Consider the following 18,674-nt stretch of genomic DNA (forward strand, 5'->3'; position numbering starts at 1 on the left):
CTCATGAGAACCCACTTAGTGTCATGAGAACAGCTTAGGGGAAACCACCCCTATGATCCAGTCATCTTCTGCCAGGTCCCTCCCTTGATACATGGGGATTACAGTTCAAGATGAGATTTGGGTGGGGACACAGAGCCAAACCATATTATTCCACCACTGGTCCCTCTCAAGTCTCATATTCTTCTCACATTTTAAAACACAATCATCCCTTTGCAACAGTCCCCCAAAGTCTTAACCCATTTTAGCATTACTAAAAAATTCACAGTCCAAAGTCTCATCTGAGACAAGGCAAGTCCCTTTTACCTATTTACCTGTAAAATCAAAAGCTGCTTAGTTACTTCCAAGATACAATGGGGGTACTGGTGTTGGGTAAATGCTCCTGTTCCAAATGGGAGAAATTGACCAAAACAAAGGGGGCTACAGGCCCCATGCAAGTGCAGAATCCAGTGGGGTAGTCAAATCCTAAAGGGCTGAAATGATCTCCTTTGACACCATGTCTCGCATCTGCTGATGCAAGGGGTGCCCATGGCCTTTGGCAGCTCCGTCACAGGGTAGCATTCAGTGCCCATGGCTTTTCCAGGCACACAGTGCAAGCTGTTGGTGGATCTACTATTCTGGGATCTGGGGGACAGTAGCCCTCTTCTCTCAGCTTCACTAGGCAGTGCCCCAGTGGGGACTGTGCTGTGGCTCCAACCCCACGTTTGCCTTCCACACTGCCATAGCAGTGGCTCTCCATGAGGCCTCTCCCCCTGCAGCAGACTTCTGCCTGGACATCCAGGCATTTCCATACATCCTCTGAAATCTAGTCAGTGGTTTCCAAACCTTAACTGTTGAATTCTGTGCAACTGCAGGCCCAACACCATGTGGAAGCTGCTTGGGGTTTACACCCACTGAAGCAATAGCCCAAGCTTTACTGTGGCCCCTTTCAGCTACAACTGGAGCTGGAGCAGCTGGGATACAGGGCACCAAGTCCCTAGGCTGCACAGAGCAGGAGTGTGGTCCTGGGCCTAGCCCAGGAAGCCATTTTATCCTACTAGGCCTGGGGGCCCGTGATGGGAGGGGCTGCATTAAAGGTCTCTGACATCCGTGGAGACATTTTCCCCATTGTCTTGGAGATTAACATTAGACTCCTCATTATTTATGTAAATTTCTGCAGCTGGCTTGAATTTCTCCCAAGAAAATAGGTTTTTCTTTTCTAAGACATGGTCAGGCTGCAAATTTTCTAAACTTTTATGCTCTGTCACCTCTTGAATGCTTTGCTGCTTTGAAATTTCTTCATATAGATTTTCTAAGTCATCTCTTTGAAGTTCAAAGTTCCCAGTAGGGGCCGACAGACATGTCATACAGGAGAGCTCTGGCTAGCATCTGGCAGATGCCCCTCTGGGATGAAGCTTCCAGAGAAAGGAACAGGCAGCAATCTTTGCTGTTCTCCAGCCTCTGCCGGTGATACCCAGGAAAACAGGGTCTGGAGTGGACCTCCAGCAAACTCCCACAGACCTGCAGCAGAGGGGCCTGTTAGAAGGAAAACTAACAAACAGAAAGGAATAGTATCAACATCAAATAAAAAGATGCCCACTCAGAGACCCCAGCAGAAGGTCAGTGACTTCAAAGACCAAAGGTAGATAAATCCATAAAGATGGGGAGAAACCAGTGCAAAAAAGCTGAAGATTCCAAAACCCAGAACACCTCTTCTCCTCCAAAGGATCACAACTCCTCAACAGCAAGAGAAGAAAACTGAACAGAGAATGGGTTTGATGAATTGACAGAAGTAGGCTTCAGAAGGTGGGTAATAAACTCCTCCAAGCTAAAGGAGCATGTTCTAACCCTATGCAAGGAAGCTGAGAACCTTGATAAAAGGTTAGATGCATTGCTTACTAGAACAGCAAGTTTAGAGAAGAACATAAATGACCTGATGGAGCTGAAAAACACAGCATGAGAACTTCGTGAAGCCTACACAAGTATCAATAGCTGAATCGATCAAGTGGAAGAAAGGATATCAGAGATTGAAGATCAACTCAATGAAATAAAGTGAGAAAACAAGATTAGAGAAAAAAGAATGAAAAGAAACAAACAAAGCCTCCAAGAAATATGGGACTGTGTGAAAAGAACAAATCTATGCTTGATTGGTGTACCTGAAAGAGACTGGGAGAATGGAACCAAGTTGGAAAACAATCTTCAGGCTATTAGCCAGGAGAACTTCCCCAAACTAGCAAGGCAGGCCAACATTCAAATTCAGGAAATACAGAGAACACCACAAAGATACTCCTGAAGAAGAGCAACCCCAAGACACATAATGATCAGATTCACCAAGGTTGAAATGAGGGAAAAAATGTTAAGGGCAGCCTGAGAGATAGGTTGGGTTACCCACAAACAGAAGCCCACCAGACTAACAGCAGATCTCTCTGCAGAAATCCTACAAGCCAGAAGAGAGTGGGGGCCAATATTCAACATTCTTAAAGAAAAGAGTTTTCAACCCAGAATTTCATATCCAGCCACACTGAGCTTCATAAGCGAAGGAGAAATAAAATTCTTTACAGACAAGCAAATGCTGAGAGATTTTTGTCATCACCAAGCCTGCCTTATGAGAGCTCCTGAATGAAGCGCTAAACATGGAAAGGAACAACCGGTACCAGTCACTGCAAAAACATACCAAATTGTAAAGACTATCAATGCTGTGAAGAAACTGCATCAACTAACGGGCAAAAGAAACAGCTAGCATCATAGTGGCAGGATCAAATTCACACATAACAATAGTAACCTTAAATGTAAAAGGGCTAAATGCCCCAGTTAAATGACACAGACTGGCAAACTGGATAAAGAGTCAAGACGCATTGGTGTGTTGTATTCAGGAGACCCATCCCACATGCAAAGACACACATAGGCTCAAAATAAAGGGATGGAGGAATATTTACCACGCAAATGGAAACCAAAGAAAGCAGGTATTGCAATCCTAGTCTCTGATAAAACAGACTTTAAACCAACAAAGATCAAAAGAGACAAAGAAGGCCATTACATAATGGTAAAGGGATCAATACAACAAGAAGAGCTAATTATCCTAAATATATATGCAGCCAGTACAGGAGCACCCAGAGTCATAAAGCAAGTTCTTAGCGACCTACAAAGAGACTTAGACTCCCACACAATAATATTGGGAGACTTCAACACCCCACTGTCAACATTGGACAGATCAATGAGACAAAAAATTAACAAAGGATATCCAGGACTTGAACTTAGCTCTGGACCAAGCAGACCTAACAGACATCTACAGGACTCTCCACCCCAAATCAACAGAATATATATTCTTCTCAGCACCACATCATTCTTACTCTAAAATTGACCACATAATTGGAAGTAAAACACTTCTTAGCAAATGCAAAAGAAGGGAAATCATAACAAACAGTCTCTCAGACCACAGTGCAAATTAGAACTCAGGATTAAGAAACTCACTCAAAACTGCACGACTGCATGGAAACTGAACAACCTGCTCCTGAATGACTACTGGGTAAATAATGAAATGAAGGCAGAAATAAAGATGTTCTTTGAAACCAATAAGAACAAAGACAAAATGTGCCAGAATCTCTGAGACACATTTAAAACAGTGTGTAGAGAGAAATGTATAGCACTAAATGCCCACAAGAGAAAGCAGGAAAGATCTAAAATCGACACCCTAACATCACAATTAAAAGAACTGAGAAACAAGAGCAAACAAATTCAAGAGCTATCAGAAGACAAGAAATAACTAAGATCAGAGCAGAACTGAAGGAGATAGAAACACACAAAAAAAAACCCTTGAAAAAACTTGGTGAATCCAGGAGGTGGTTTGAAAAGATCAAGAAAACAAATAGACCACTAGCCAGACTAATAAAGAAGAAAAGAGAGAAGAATCAAATAGATGAAATAAAAAATGATAAAGGGGATATCACCATGTATCCCACAGAAATACAAACTACCAACAGAGAATTTGCAACCTCTATGCAAATAAACTAGAAAATCTAGAAGAATTGGGTAAGTTCCTGAACACATACACCCTCCCGAGACTAAACCAGGAAAACATCCAAGCCCTGAAATGACCAATAACAAGTTCTGAAATTGAGGCAGCAATTAATAGCCTACTAACCAAAAAAAGTCCAGGACCAGATGGATTAACAGCCAAATTCTACCAGAGGTACAAAAAGGAGCTGGTACCATTCCTTCTGAAATTATTCCAAACAATAGAAAAACAGGGAATCCTTCCTAACTCATTTTATGAGGCCAGCATCATCCTGATACCAAAACCTGGCAGAGACACAACAAAAAAAGAAAATTTCAGGCCAATATCCCTGATGAACATCAACACGAAAATCCTCAATAAAATACTGGCAAACCGAATCCAGCAGCACATCATCAAAAAGCTTATCCACCATGATCAAGTCGGCTTCATCCTTGGGATGCAAGGCTAGTTCAACATACACAAATCAATAAACATAATCCATCACATAAACAGAACCAATGACAAAAACCACATGATTATCTCAGTAGACCCAGAAAAGGCCTTTGACAAAATTCAACAGCCTTCATGCTAAAAACTCTCAGTAAACTAGGTATTGATGGAACGTATCTCAAAATAATAAGAGCTATTTATGACAAACCCACAGCCAATATCATACTGAATGGGCAAAAACTAGAGGCATTCCCTTTGAAAATCCACACAAGACAAGGATGCCCTCTCTCACTACTCCCATTCAAGATAGTTTTGGAAGTTCTGGCCAGGGCAATCAGGCAGGAGAAAGAAATAAAGGGTATTTACTTAGGAAAAGAGGAAGTCAAATTGTCTCTGTTTGCAGATGACGTGATTGTATATTTAGAAACCCCCATTGTCTCAGCTGTCTTAAGCTGATAAGCAACTTCAGCAAAGTCTCAGGATACAAAATCAATGTGCAAAAATCACAAGCATTCTTATACACCAAGAACAGACAGAGAGCCAAATCATGAGTGAACTCCCATTCACAATTGCTACTAAGAGAATAAAATACCTAGGAATACAACTTACAAGGGATGTGAAGGATCTCTTCAAGGAGAACTACAAACCACTGCTTAAGGAAATAAGAGAAGACACAAACAAATAGAAAAACTTTCCATGCTCATTGATAGGAAGAATCATATCACAAAAATGACCATAATGCCCAAAGTAATTTTTAGATTCAGTGTATCCCCATTAAGCTACCACTGACTTTCTTCACAGAATTGGAAAAAAACTAATTTAAATTTCATTTGGAACCAAAGAAGAGCCCACATAGCCAAGACAATCCTAAGCAAAAAGATCAAAGCTGGAGGCGTCACACTACTACAACTATACTACAAGGCTACAGTAAACAAAACAGCATGGTACTGGTACCAAAACAGATATATAGACCAGTGGAACAGAACGGAGTCCTCAGAAATAACGCCACGCATCTATAACCATTGGATCTTTGACAAACCTGACAAAAACAAGAAATGGGGAAAGGATTCCCTATTTAATAAATGGTTTTGGGAAAACTGGCTAGCCATATGCAGAAAGCTGAAACTGGATCTCTTCCTTACAACTTACACAAAAATTAACTCAAGATGGATTGAAGAATTAAATGTAAGACCTAAAACCATAAAAACCTTAGAAGAAAACCTAGGCAATACCATTCAGGACATAGGCATGGGCAAAGACTTCATGACTAAAACACCCAAAGCAATGGCAACAAAAGCCAAAATAGACAAATGGGATCTAATTAAACTAAAGAGCTTCTGCACAGCAGAAGAAACTATCATCAGAGTGAACAGCCAACCTACAGAATGGGAGAAAAGTTTTACAATCTATCCATCTGACAAAGGGCTAATATCCAGAATCTACAAAGAACTTAAACAAATTTACAAGAAAAAAAAACAACCCCATCAAAAAGTAGGTGAAGGATTTCAACAGACACTTCTCAAAAGAAGGCATTTATGCAGCCAACAAACGTATGAAAAAAAGCTCAGCATCGCTGATCATTAGAGAAATGCAAATCAAAACCACAATGAGATATCACTTCACGCCAGTTAGAATGGCAATCATTAAAAAGTCAGGAAACAGCAGATGCTGGAGAGGATGTGGAGAAATAGGAATGCTTTTACACTGTTGGTCGGAGTGTAAATGTGTTCAACCATTGTGGAAGACAGTAGGTCGATTCCTCAAGGATCTAGAACCAGAAATACCATTTGACCCAGAAATCCCATTACTGAGTATATACCCAAAGGATTATAAACCATTCTGCTATAAAGACACATGCACACGTATGTTTGTTGCGGCACTGTTCACAATAGCAAAGACTTGGAACCAACCCAAATACCCATCAATGATAGACTGGACAAAGAAAATGTGGCACATATACACCATGGAATACTGTGCAGCCATGAAAAAGGATGAGTTCATGTCCTTTGCAGGGACATGGATGAAGCTGGAAACCATCTTTCTCAGCAAACTAACACATCAGCAGAAAACCAAACACCGCATGTCTCACTCATAAGTGGGAGTTGAACAATGAAAGCACATGGACACAGGGAGGGGAACATCACACACCATGTCCTGTAGGGGGTTAGGGGGGTTCTGGGGAGGGATGGCATTAGGAGAAATACCTAATGTAGATGATGGGTTGATGGGTGCAGCAAACCACCATGGCATGTGAATACCTATGTAACAAACCTGCATGTTCTGCACATGTACCCCAGAACTTAAAGTATAATAGAAATAAATAAATAAATAATAAGTGAAGCTCAAAACAAACAAACAAGGCTCCAAAGATCTCTACGGCAGAGGCAAAATGCCGCCAGTCTCTTTGCTAAAGCATAGCAAGAGTTACTTTTACTCCAGTTCCCAATAAGTTCCTCATCTGCACCTGAGACCACCTCAGCCTAGGCTTTACTGTTTACATCACTATCAGCATTTTGGTCAAAATCATTTAACAGGTCTTTAGGAAGTTCCAAACTTTCTGACATCTTCCTGTCTTCTTGTGTACCCTCAGAATGGTTGCAATCTCTGCCTGTTACCCAGTTTCAAAGTTGCTTCCACATTTTCAGGTTATCTTTATAGCAGTACCCCACTCTATGCAGTACCAATTTCTTGTATTAGTTCATTTTCACTCTGCTATAAAGAACTTCCCCAAACTGGGTAATTTACAAAGAAATGAGGTTCTGTTGACTCACATTTCCACATGGCTGGGGTGGCCTCAGGGAACCCACAATCATGGTGGAAGGGAAAGCAGGCACTTCTTACATGCGGAGAGAGAGAGTGAAGGGGGAAAGAGCCCCTTATAAAACCACCAGATCTTGTGACAACTCACTCACTGTCATGAGAACGACACAGCAGTAACCACCCCCATGATCCAATCACCTCCCACCAGGCCTCTCCCTTGACATGTGGGTATTACAGTTTGAGATGAGATTTAAATGGGGACACAGAACCAAGCCATATCAATGGGTTTAATTTTATGGGTAAGTTAGGGAATGTAGAAATAAGTAAGAAAGGTATCAAGAATTCATGTGACTGGGCACAGTTGGTGGCACCTGTAATTCCCGTGATTTGGGAAGCTGAAGTGGAAGGATCCCTTGAGAGCAGGAATCAAGATTTGAGACCAACCTGGGCAACAAGTGGTACACAGTGTCCTGAAAAAAAAGAAAAAGAGATGGTGTGATTGTGAATAAATAGAGTATAATTAAGTACACTTAACTTAAGTATTGTTAAGTATACTTGAGATCCACTCTAAAATGGTAAATTAGTTCAAGGTGGACCTTATAAACAGAAAAAAAATGTAAGGGTTAAGGGTTCAGCAAAATGAAATATAAAGTCTATGGGATCCAGTGTGTAAGAGGGACTTAGAATATTGTAGATGAACTCTGTAGGTTTTGTTTATTCATACTTTTTTTTTTTCTAAGACAGAGTCTCACTGTGTCACCCAGGCTGGAGTGCAGTGGCACGATCTCGGTTTACTGAAACCTCCACCTCCCATGTTCAATCAGTTCTCCTGCCTCAGCCTCCCGAGTAGCTGAGATTACAGGCACACACCACCACACCCGGCTAACTTTTGTATTTTTAGTAGAGATGGGGTTTTACCATGTTGGCCAGGCTGGTCTTGAACTCTTGACCTCATGATCTGCCCACCTCGGACTCCCATGTGCTGGGTGTTTATTATAATGTTTAATTGATATTTCATGTACTTTTGGTTATGATTGCATACTTTAGCATAATTTAGATTTCTGATCTCCATAATTATGTAATAATAAAAAACATGAAACAATATGTGTCAAATTGTGCTGGAATGGTGTGTGTGTGTGTGTGTGTGTGTGTGTGTATTTTACCTCTATTAAATCTAATGACAAACAGATAGGTGCAATAAATTGGAGAGACATTACCGCAAGCTTGTCTGCACAATAATAAATGAAGGCAGAAACTTTATTTGACTTTTGCTTTACCTTAGTGTCTCCTGGAAAAACAGGAATTACAGAAAGCGGCACCAGCATGGCTTCATTATCTTTTCTCTCCTTTGGGCATGATGCTTTCTTAGCCATGCTTTGAGGTCTAACTCAGTCATACAAGCAAAGAATAGAATCTGGTTGTAGTTATGAAAGACCCATTTAAAGGGACAAGGATATATTAGTCTATGTCCATGCTGTATATTACTCAAACAAGAATGGATACTTAAAAATCTTTATGAATAAATATTTATGACTATTATCAGATATTATAACCCATTAATACTAATATTGAAAATATTTAATCTTTTCTAAGAAAACTTTTTTTCCTATTTATGTTTTTTCTCTTCTAAGGACACATACTATAGTCACAGCTGCCCACTATTATTTACCTTATTAGGGAGTGAGTGGTTTCCAGTATGGAAGCATTGGTTTCCAGTGTAAATGCTATTTGTAGTTGTCAGAGTTTTCATCGTTGAGGACAGATAGGAGCAGAACTAAATTGGTTATGGGTTATAAAAGTTATTAATAGTAGATGCTATAAAAAAGCATATTATTGGCTTTTTTTTAGCTGATTTTAAATAATTATTGCAATAGCCATATTCTTTTGGTTTCTCTCTTTCTCTCCCTCCCTCCCTCTCTCTCTCCCTCTCTCTCTCTCTCTTTCTCTCCCTCTTTGTATTCCTCTCTCTCCCCCCCGCCGCCTTCTCCTTCTCTCTATTTCTATTTCTGTCCTTCTGTCTCATCTTTCTAGGCTATCTATGTAATTGTTGTGGTTTGGTATAATTTTCCAAGGAGTTGATCATGGTTCATTATAAATATTAAAGATGACAGAAGACCTGTTATAGCCCACAGCAAGTTTCAGCTCTAAGCATTTCCCCTGATGAGGTGTCTGCTACAGATGATTCTATTGTTTAGTGAAAAGATCATAAGGATGACAAGAGACAGGGCCTCTGGCCTTAAGGAACTCATAAACAAGTGGATAACATTTAGAAATCAATGAACACTATAATGGAAATGTACAGAAGCTGGAATAGAGCACACAGCCTCTTTGCTGTCATTGGAAGGTGATTGGACTTGGAATGTAATGATTTCACTTGTTCACTGTGTGGCTCTTTCTCAGTTCTCTTAATCAAGCTGAGCTTCGTTTCCTAATTGGCAAATTAGAGATCAAAATAACATATCTTTCAGGGTTTTTGTGAATATCAGTTGAATTGTTTGATGAAGCTAGTTTGTATAATAAAATATGAATATAAGGTTCTTTTATTCAGCTTGATATTTTGACTTTAACATTGGGAGCCATATTGTGTAAAATCCCAGCATAGTTCTCTGTTGTGACATTAAAGCATTCCTTTAGAGCACTGAAAGGAGATTCTTCTTTGTGTGTTTTTCCATATTAGCATTTCTAACATATGCTCTCATGACATTTTTCTGATGGTATAGAAATAAAGCAGCCTGTAAGAAAGGTGGTCAATGTTGTGTATTCCTGTCCCCATAGCATACATTGGTAGAGGTACTCTTTCAAATTTGTACTTGTCATGCCTGAAGGGGATGAGATGGAGTGGATGTGGCTTGCCAAAAGGCATGGCAGTGAGAAGTAGAGAGAAAAACTGGCAATCACCTTTTTTCTTCCCAATTTATCCATTGGTAGAATTCATTTTCTGAGTTTTTCTTGAAATAATTACACATGAAGTTAAGCTTACCTTTAAGATTAATGCAATTGTTCTGTTTTTTAAATTACTTTAACTTCCATGAAAGAAAAGTATAATTTTCTAGATTAGTGTAGTCCGTATTTCCCCTTTATTTATGTGAAGAATGAAGTTAATGTCTTGAGAAGTCATTTTCAGTGTCTATTCACCTAAAATGATCAGTCCATCTGGCTGTGTTAATATAGAAATAGGACAGGCGTGGTGGCTCATGCCTGTAATCCCAGCACTTTGGGAGGCCGAGGCGGGTGGATCACAGGGTCAAGAGATCGAGACCATCCTGGCCAACATGGTGAAACCCTGTCTGTACTAAAAATACAAAAATTAGCTGGGTGTGGTGGCATGTGCCTGTAGTCCCAGCTACTTGGGAGGCTGAGGCAGGAGAATCACTTGAACCCAGGAGGTGGAGGTTCTGTGAGCCAAGATCGTGCCACTGCACTCCAGCTTGGTGACAGAGCAAGACTCCATCTCACAAAAAAAAAAAAAAAAAAGAAAGAAAGAAATAGCCACATGCAGTTCAGTTTGTTTGCTGATCGATCATTTTTCTGGTTACCACTACTTTTTGAACTTTCTGCATTATCATTGTCTCCTTTTAATTATCTCCTTTTAAGCATGGCATGTAGAAGTTGTAGTGATAATTAGCAAGCACATGTCTGCACATTTTTGATGGTTATAGTAGACACTTGTTAAATGAATAAATTCTAAGTTAAAGCTCAATCCTCCAATTCTACCTCATCAGCTTCCTTTTTTTCTGAAGGACAAGAGCAGCAAATTAGATTTACGAACCATATGGTGGAGAATGTAGAAGATGTCACATTTACCATTCTTTTTGTGCACTGTTCAACCACTGTCCCCCTTTCTCAAACTTTAAGAAAATATTACTGTCAGGTGAAATCTCCTTTAATTTCCTGTATGCCAATAGTAGTTCTGCACAACCCTATACTTTTTCATTCTTTTTCCTTCGGCTTAGAGAAAAGTGTTTACTTTGGCATTACAGATCCCAGCCCATCCAGTGGGTCCTTAACTCAGTCTCCTATCTTCTCCAGGGCCATGTCTCACCTGCCATTCTTTTCTCATATTTCCAACCTCTGCTTATCCATTGTGTTTTTTTATTTGTTTTTAATTGCTCATTTCACTCAATTTGTCATGCCACATTTGTCTGCAGTTGCTATCCATTTTATGCTTTCCTGATCTAAGTCCTCAGAAGTGTCCTTCACTTACTTTCTTCACTTACTTCCAGTCTTCACTTACTTTCTTCACTTCCAGTCTTCACTTACTTTATTCTCATTCACTCTTTAGTCCATTGCAATAAGTTCTCTGTCTGCCACCCTGTCTAATCGATCAAAACTGCTCTGGATGAAGCTGCTATGAATGAGGTAACTGGTGTTTTGTTTGTTTGTTTGTTTGTTTAAATTAGCAATTCCAACAGACATTTTTTCAACCTATTGTTTTGGTGGATTTTTTTGCTTCATGTATGTAACTCTTCTTGAAACTGTTTCCTTGACTTTTATGACACAATCATTTTTTCTTGTACCTTTTAAATTGTTCCTTCTCTATGTTCTTAATGACTGTTATGTCTCTATCCAGCCTTCAAATACTGATCCTATTCAGGGTATCTTTTTTGATCCTTTGTTTACTCACTGCCCATACTCTCTCTGAATGATTGTAATCATTTTTATAGTTTCTGCTATCTACACACTGATAACTCCTAAAATGCATTTTCAGTCTAGACCTTCTCCCCAGTCTTAGGCTTATGTGACCAGTTTCTAAAGGATCATCTCTGACTAGATTTTCTCCAGCTGCCTCAGAATTTATGTGACTAAACCTGAACTTTTTATAGTCTCTTCTAAGCCATTTCTTTTATCTTTTTACTATTTCATTTGGCAGCACCATAATCTACCTTGTCACCTAAGTCAGAACCATGGAATGCATGTATTCATACTTTCACTTCATTGCCCATATTCAGTCAGTAAGCTGGTCTCCAGATTACATATTGATATTTTGTGTTTATTTTCCCAGTCAGTCCTTTTCTTTCTCTTCCACTGCAGCTGCTTAGTTCATTTCACTCTTCACCCAATGTTGGGACTAATAGAGGTGCTTTTCAGTTGATCGCTCAATGTTTTATTATGTTCGCCTCAAATAAGCCCTTCCTATAGCCAATAGAATGATGAAATTAAAATAAGACTATTTCATTTTTCTGCATTACAACTTTCAGTGCCTCATTCCTGTTCCCACTGCTGACAGCCATATTTCTCATATTTAGTTTCATGGATATGTGTGTACTTTAGAATATTCAATGAGAACTTTTCAATTTGGTTTATGCATTTTACTGATAATCATTTTAAAAACAACCACAACTTTGTTTGTGTTTATGATGGCATGTCTGTCAAAGAGTGACCGAGAGTAATTAGATTTAGCTTTAAATGCAGTATTTTTCAGCCAAGATGAGGAAATTCTAGAAGTTATAGACATAGTTTCATGGATCTATACCACATACACACACATGTGTACATACACAGGTACATACACATGTATATACATATATATACACACATATATATACACACATATATGATATACATATACAGAGATATGTAGATATCTATATATATTTATATTTGTATATCAGATATTTTATGTGTGTATGTGCATAATTTTTCCAAAGGGGTCTTATATTATTCAAGTTGGAAATTCACTCTGCACTTTACAGGATGAATTGTAAATTCACTCTACACTTTACAGGATGAAGGTTCTTAACATGTCTTATATTATCTTTTATGATCTGGCCTCTATATTATTTATCTTAGTCTCTTACTTTATACTTTCTGTGGAAGCAACATCAAATTACTTGAGAGTCCTCATATACACAAATGCTATTATTTTTCCTGTTGTATTTATGCGTTTACATTTACCCCTTAGGTGTATGGTATTTTTTTGCCTTCTGTCTTCTCCTGACTTTAACTTTGAGCTCCTACTTTATAAGTAGTTCCATCATGACCTCTTCCAGGATACACTAATCTAACAAGGTAGGCTGTTCAATGGCCCTCCTGATTTTATAGTTCCCTCAGTAAATCTCTATGTCTGGGTACACCTTATTGCTTTGTAGTTACCTATTGGATTCACTACCAGACTGTGACCTCCTTCAGGTCTTGTGGCTTTCTCTTCTGCATCTTTCAAGCATGGCATTGTAATTGAATGAGAGATAATGACCTGAAAACACATGAATGAGTCACCTTTCTACCCATGAAGATAAAGACCTTTTTTCTACAATCTCTACAATTTCTTTCACAGTTTTTTCTTTACTCAGTTTTTACACTACTGCTTGTTAAATGCTTAATGTGTATTTATATACTTCATTTCTTATTTTAAGATAAGTATCAATGGCTAGTTTTACATGAAGAAATTTCAGCTGCATGAAGATAATCCTTCTATTCCTTTATTTTTCAGGATACGTTTCCTCCCAGTTGGAGGCTCAGGAACCTAAGAGTTCTGAAAGTACATTAACTTCGATGGAAGATTCTGGATGTGATTTGTCGAATGAGCAGAGAACTGAATCCTCAGACCTGTCCCAGCACTTTGTGGAAAGCTGTACCCCCACTCACTTTCCACCACTGCCTCTTGTGAAAAGACCTTGTGCTATCCTGCAAAATCCTTTGTCTTCTCACATGCAATTCTTGCAATATCTACTTGAATTAAAGAACTTGACAGAATCAGGTAATCTTAAAAGAGACTTAACCCACTTTGAAAAAGACTCTTCCACAGTCTCTGATTCTGTTTTTCAATTGCTGGATGGCCTGATCACTTTTTACCGTAATCCCAAACTTCCTTTTTCAAGATTTTGGACAGAAGCTGTTGGTACTTTAGCTAGTCTGATCAGTGACTATAACTTATCTAGTCATATTCTTAAAAAGTGTTCCAAGAAGTTGGAAGAATTTGAGAAAACCCTACTACATGCTATTTTAGGAAACAATCATATAAATCAGGTGAGTAATAAATCCCTCTTTTATTCCTAAAATGCTAGTAATTTTAGTGAACATCTCTTTGGGTAATGTCTGTTGTTGTCCCTTAGCCTTGTGGCTCAAGGAATCCCTTATTGGGTCTTTTTCTGCAGCTGTCTGCAGCTCTTATCTGTCATGATGTCTCCACTTCTAGCCTCTGATTGCTACAGCATAGTTTTCTGCATAGATGCCTTTGCTTCAAACTTGTTCTGCTCTGCTTTGAATTACTTTCTCTGTTTTATTATCAGCACCCTTGGATTCTTTTATTCTTATGTTTTCCCTTTTCTGTTTCTATTTCTTATTCAAAAAGTCTCAAAACTTTTGAGAAAACTGCTAACAAATAAGGTTTTCCAAACTTAACGTCTGTGAGTGTTAAATTCCTCATGATGGATTATCTGTACTGTATTGAATTTGCTCTTTTTCTGGCATTGACTAGCAAATGCCTTGGGGTTGAAGAATATTTTTCTCTTCTTTTGGCCTTTCCCTTGTAAGTGATAAATGCCCCATGGACCCTCTGCAGATGTAGGTGAATTGAATAAATTGGCTAAGGAGCACATAATATAAAGCTTTATTATGTTTTATTTCCTTACTTATTTATTTATTTAACATGGCTTAGAAAGATTTACTCAGGGATTCTTTCTTAACAAGTGACATTGAGATAACCTGAAGTTGTTTTGTTGTTTGGCTCTTGAGACATGATAGAGAATTTCTTTTTCATATTATTTCTGCCTTCTTTAATATCTGATCCTTTTTCTGGGAAATTCCAAATGGCTTCACATTTTAATCCTCTTTATTTGACTACCAAAAATATAATAGAAGAAACTAAAAGGTCTATCTAACTTATTTACTATATTTCATTGTAGGAAAAAGGTTATTGGACCTTGTTTCTTTGGATACATCATTGTTAAATATTTGCCTCCGTGCTATGATCTAACATTTAGGGTTTTTGTACAGTGGAGGCTTTATCTGAGTTTTCAAAATTTTGAATAAAATTTGCACTGATAAACCAATTTGTTTCATGTACAGCTGTTCTTTCCTTCTCTATTAAGGTATGATTTGATCAATATTTTAAAAACTTTGTGAGTAAGCTTCGGCATTTGTGAAAGATATTGAATTTTCTGTCTGGAAAATGGAAATCTTTTTCTTTTGGACATGGTCAATCAGGAATTAAATATCAGATTTGCCATAGTTGTATCTGAGATATAAAATCCATTTCTAAACCATGAAAATATCTTAAATACTTGATATTTTTTAAACTTCTTTTTATACTTTTGCTTTCTTTTTAAACACTACTTTAAGCAGTCTTTATGTAACTTGGAACCTTGAAGATACTGGCATTTATAGTCCATATCAGAATTACTGAATGATGCAAATATTTTTCCAGTCTAGTCTTTGCCTTCATATATGTATTGGAGGTTGATATGACTTAAACCTATACAAGAGTAGCCTTGGGAATTGTATGGAAGGAGGATAATGTGTAGAATAAACTACACATAAACTTGTGAATGAAAGTCCTCTTTTCTCTTTCTTCCACCTTCCTCAAGCAGATGGACCAAGTCTTGGAGGTGCAAGCTGTGCTGCCTGGGGTTTGTGGAGGGGTGACATAAGCACTTCCTTGGTTGCCTCAGCTAGTATCTCACTATGTTCCATGCACACCAAGTTCCCTGGCTCTGAGCCCAGCACAGCACCAGGACTTGTGCAGAAATTGTTGTCCTTGTGGTCTAGGTTGCCCTTCGTGTTTATTTAGAACCCCAGAATGGTTTAGTCCATGGTGGCAGGACTTGCCAAAACTCAGGTTCCAACTGCAGCAATTACCCGTGCAAGAAAGCCATTCATTCACTTGTTCTTCTACTGTTGACCAACTGTTCAGCAATGGTTGGCACAATGGCAAGTGACATAGGAAATATATATTTCATCTATAGATCCACCTATACCATCACAAGTTTGAAATGAAAACTCAAGTTTTCATTTCTTGTAGAGTCTTCCTGGTTTTGGTATGAGGGTAATCCTGACCTCATAAAATGTGTTTGGAAGTGGCCATTTTTATTTTCAGGAAGAGTTTAAGAAAGATTGTTCTCAATTCCTCTTTGAATGTTTGGTAGGATTCACCTGTGTAGTCGTCAGATTATTTGTTGGGAGACTTTTTTTTTTCTAGACGGAGTCTCACTCTGTCACCAGGTTGGAGTGCCGTGGCACAATCTTGGCTCACTGCAACCTCCACTTCCTGGGTTCAGGCGATTCTCCTGCCTCAGCCTCCCTAGTAACTGGGACTACAGGTGCATGCCACCATGCCCAGCTAATTTTTGTATTTTTAGTAGAGATGGGGTTTCATCATGTTGGCCAGGGTGATCTTGATTTCTTGACCTCGTGATCTGCCCACTTCGGTCTCCCAAAGTGCTGGGATTACAGGTGTGAACCACCACACCCGGCCTGTTGGGAGACTTTTGATTGCTGATTCAATCCCCTTATTTGTTACTGGTCTTTTCAGGCTTTCTGTTTCTTTCGATTCAGTTTTGGTAAGTTGCATATTTTTAGGAATTTATCCATTTCTTATAAGTCATCCAGATTGTTGGCATATAATTGTTCATAATACTTCCCTTATGATCCATTTTATGTCTAAACCATCCATTGTAATACCTCCTTTTTGATTTCTGATTTTGTCTTCTTTTTCTTTTCTTACTCTAGCCAAGGGTTGTCAATTATCTTTTCAAAAAGCAAACTCTTATTTTTTTTATTTTTAAACTGTTTCGTTGTTCACTATTTATTTTTTGCTCCAGTCTTTATTATTCTCTTTTTTCTGCTAATTTTTGGCTTAGTTTATTCTTCATAGTGGACTTTAATACCTCAATTACAATAATGGATGGAACATCCAGACAGAAAAATCAATAAAGAAACAGCTGACTTGAACAACACTGTAGAGTAAATGGATTTAATTGACATATACAGAACTTTCCAGTCAACAGCAAAAGAATACACATTCTTCTCAAGTGCACACAGAATGTTCTCCAGGATAAATCAAATTTTAGGTCACAAAACATGTCTTAACCATTTTAGAAGTTCAAAAGCTTTCTAGATGTTTCTTTCTGACCACAATATAATGAAATTAGAATACAACAACAATAGGTAAAATGGTAAAATTGACAAGTATGTAGAAACTAAACAATACAATTTTGAACAAACTTTGTGTCAAAGAAGAAATCAAAGGGAAATTCAAAAGTATCTCAAGACAAACAAAAATGAAAACAGAATTTACCGAAACCTATGGGATGCAGCAAAAGTAGTAATAAGGACATTTATAAGGTTGAATGTCTACATCAAAAAATAAGAATCTTAAATGAACAAGTTTTCAATTATTTTTAGCACAGTGATCAATAGCTCGAATTAGAATTCTGAAGCTTTTACTCAATAGCTATGACCTTAGACAAGTTAACTAACCTCCAAGTTCTACATCTGTAAAATGTAGGTAATAAATGTGACCACTTCATCGGGCTAAATACTAAGCATAATTTCTGACATCATATAAAAACTTAATAAATGTTTCTTTTTGTTACTTTTCTCTTGAGGAAGTGATTATATCTTATTTTCTCCACTATGCCCAAGACAATGTTGAGTTTGTTGTAGCAGCAACGTGAGATATTTTTTTGAATTGAAAATAAGATAATGAGAAGAAGTGACAACTTATATTTCATATACCCTCATAAACTTAAATACCATCAGCTGATTTTATTTTTTTTTAAATTTTATTATTATTATACTTTAAGTTTTAGGGTACATGTGCACAACGTGCAGGTTTGTTACATATGTATACATGTGCTGTGTTGGTGTGCTGCACCCATTAACTGGTCATTTAGCATTAGGTATATCTCCTAATGCTATCCCTCTCCCCTCCCCCCACCCCACAACAGTCCCTGGTGTGAACTAGTTCAACCATTGTGGAAGACAGTGTGGCAATTCCTCAGGGATCTAGAACTAGAAATTCCATTTGACCCAGCCATCCCATTACTGGGTATATACCCAAAGGATTATAAATCATGCTGCTATAAAGACACATGCACACATATGTTTATTGCAGCACTATGCACAATAGCAAAGACTTGGAACCAACCCAAATGTCCAACAATGATAGACTGGATTAAGAAAATGTGGCACATATATACCATTGAATATTATGCAGCCATAAAAAATGATGAGTTCATGTCCTTTGTAGGATGAAGCTGGAAACCATCATTCTCAGCAAAGTATCGCAAGGACAAAAAACCAAACACCACATGTTCTCACTCATAGATGGGAATTGAACAATAAGAACACATGGACACAGGAAGGGGACCATCAGCTGATTTTCTAAGCAGCAGCTCTTATTAACACCATGACATTCCTGAAACACCTCCATATATATTAGGAAGCTGTATATTATCTCTTTGTGTCACTATTTTCCACAGCTACAGCTTCCAGTTGACCAATGAGCTTAGTAGGGAATAGTGGATATTTTTCTTTCTGTTTTAATTATGGGAAG

General features: G+C 38.2%; 1 protein-coding gene across 4 annotated transcripts in view; it reads left to right on the top strand.

Annotated features, from left to right (window-relative positions):
- MEI4 (meiotic double-stranded break formation protein 4) overlaps positions 1 to 18,674 on the top strand; it is a 276,772-nt gene that overhangs the window by 97,246 nt on the left and 160,852 nt on the right. For all 4 annotated transcript variants that reach the window (NM_001282136.3, NM_001322247.2, XM_017010155.2 and 1 more), the window contains one exon: positions 13,611 to 14,146. In NM_001282136.3, coding sequence (NP_001269065.1) covers positions 13,611 to 14,146 — 536 coding nt within the window. The remainder of the gene's footprint in view (positions 1 to 13,610; positions 14,147 to 18,674) is intronic.

The sequence above is a fragment of the Homo sapiens genome, chromosome 6 (assembly GCF_000001405.40).
Source record: "Homo sapiens chromosome 6, GRCh38.p14 Primary Assembly".
Classification (NCBI taxonomy): domain Eukaryota; kingdom Metazoa; phylum Chordata; class Mammalia; order Primates; family Hominidae; genus Homo; species Homo sapiens.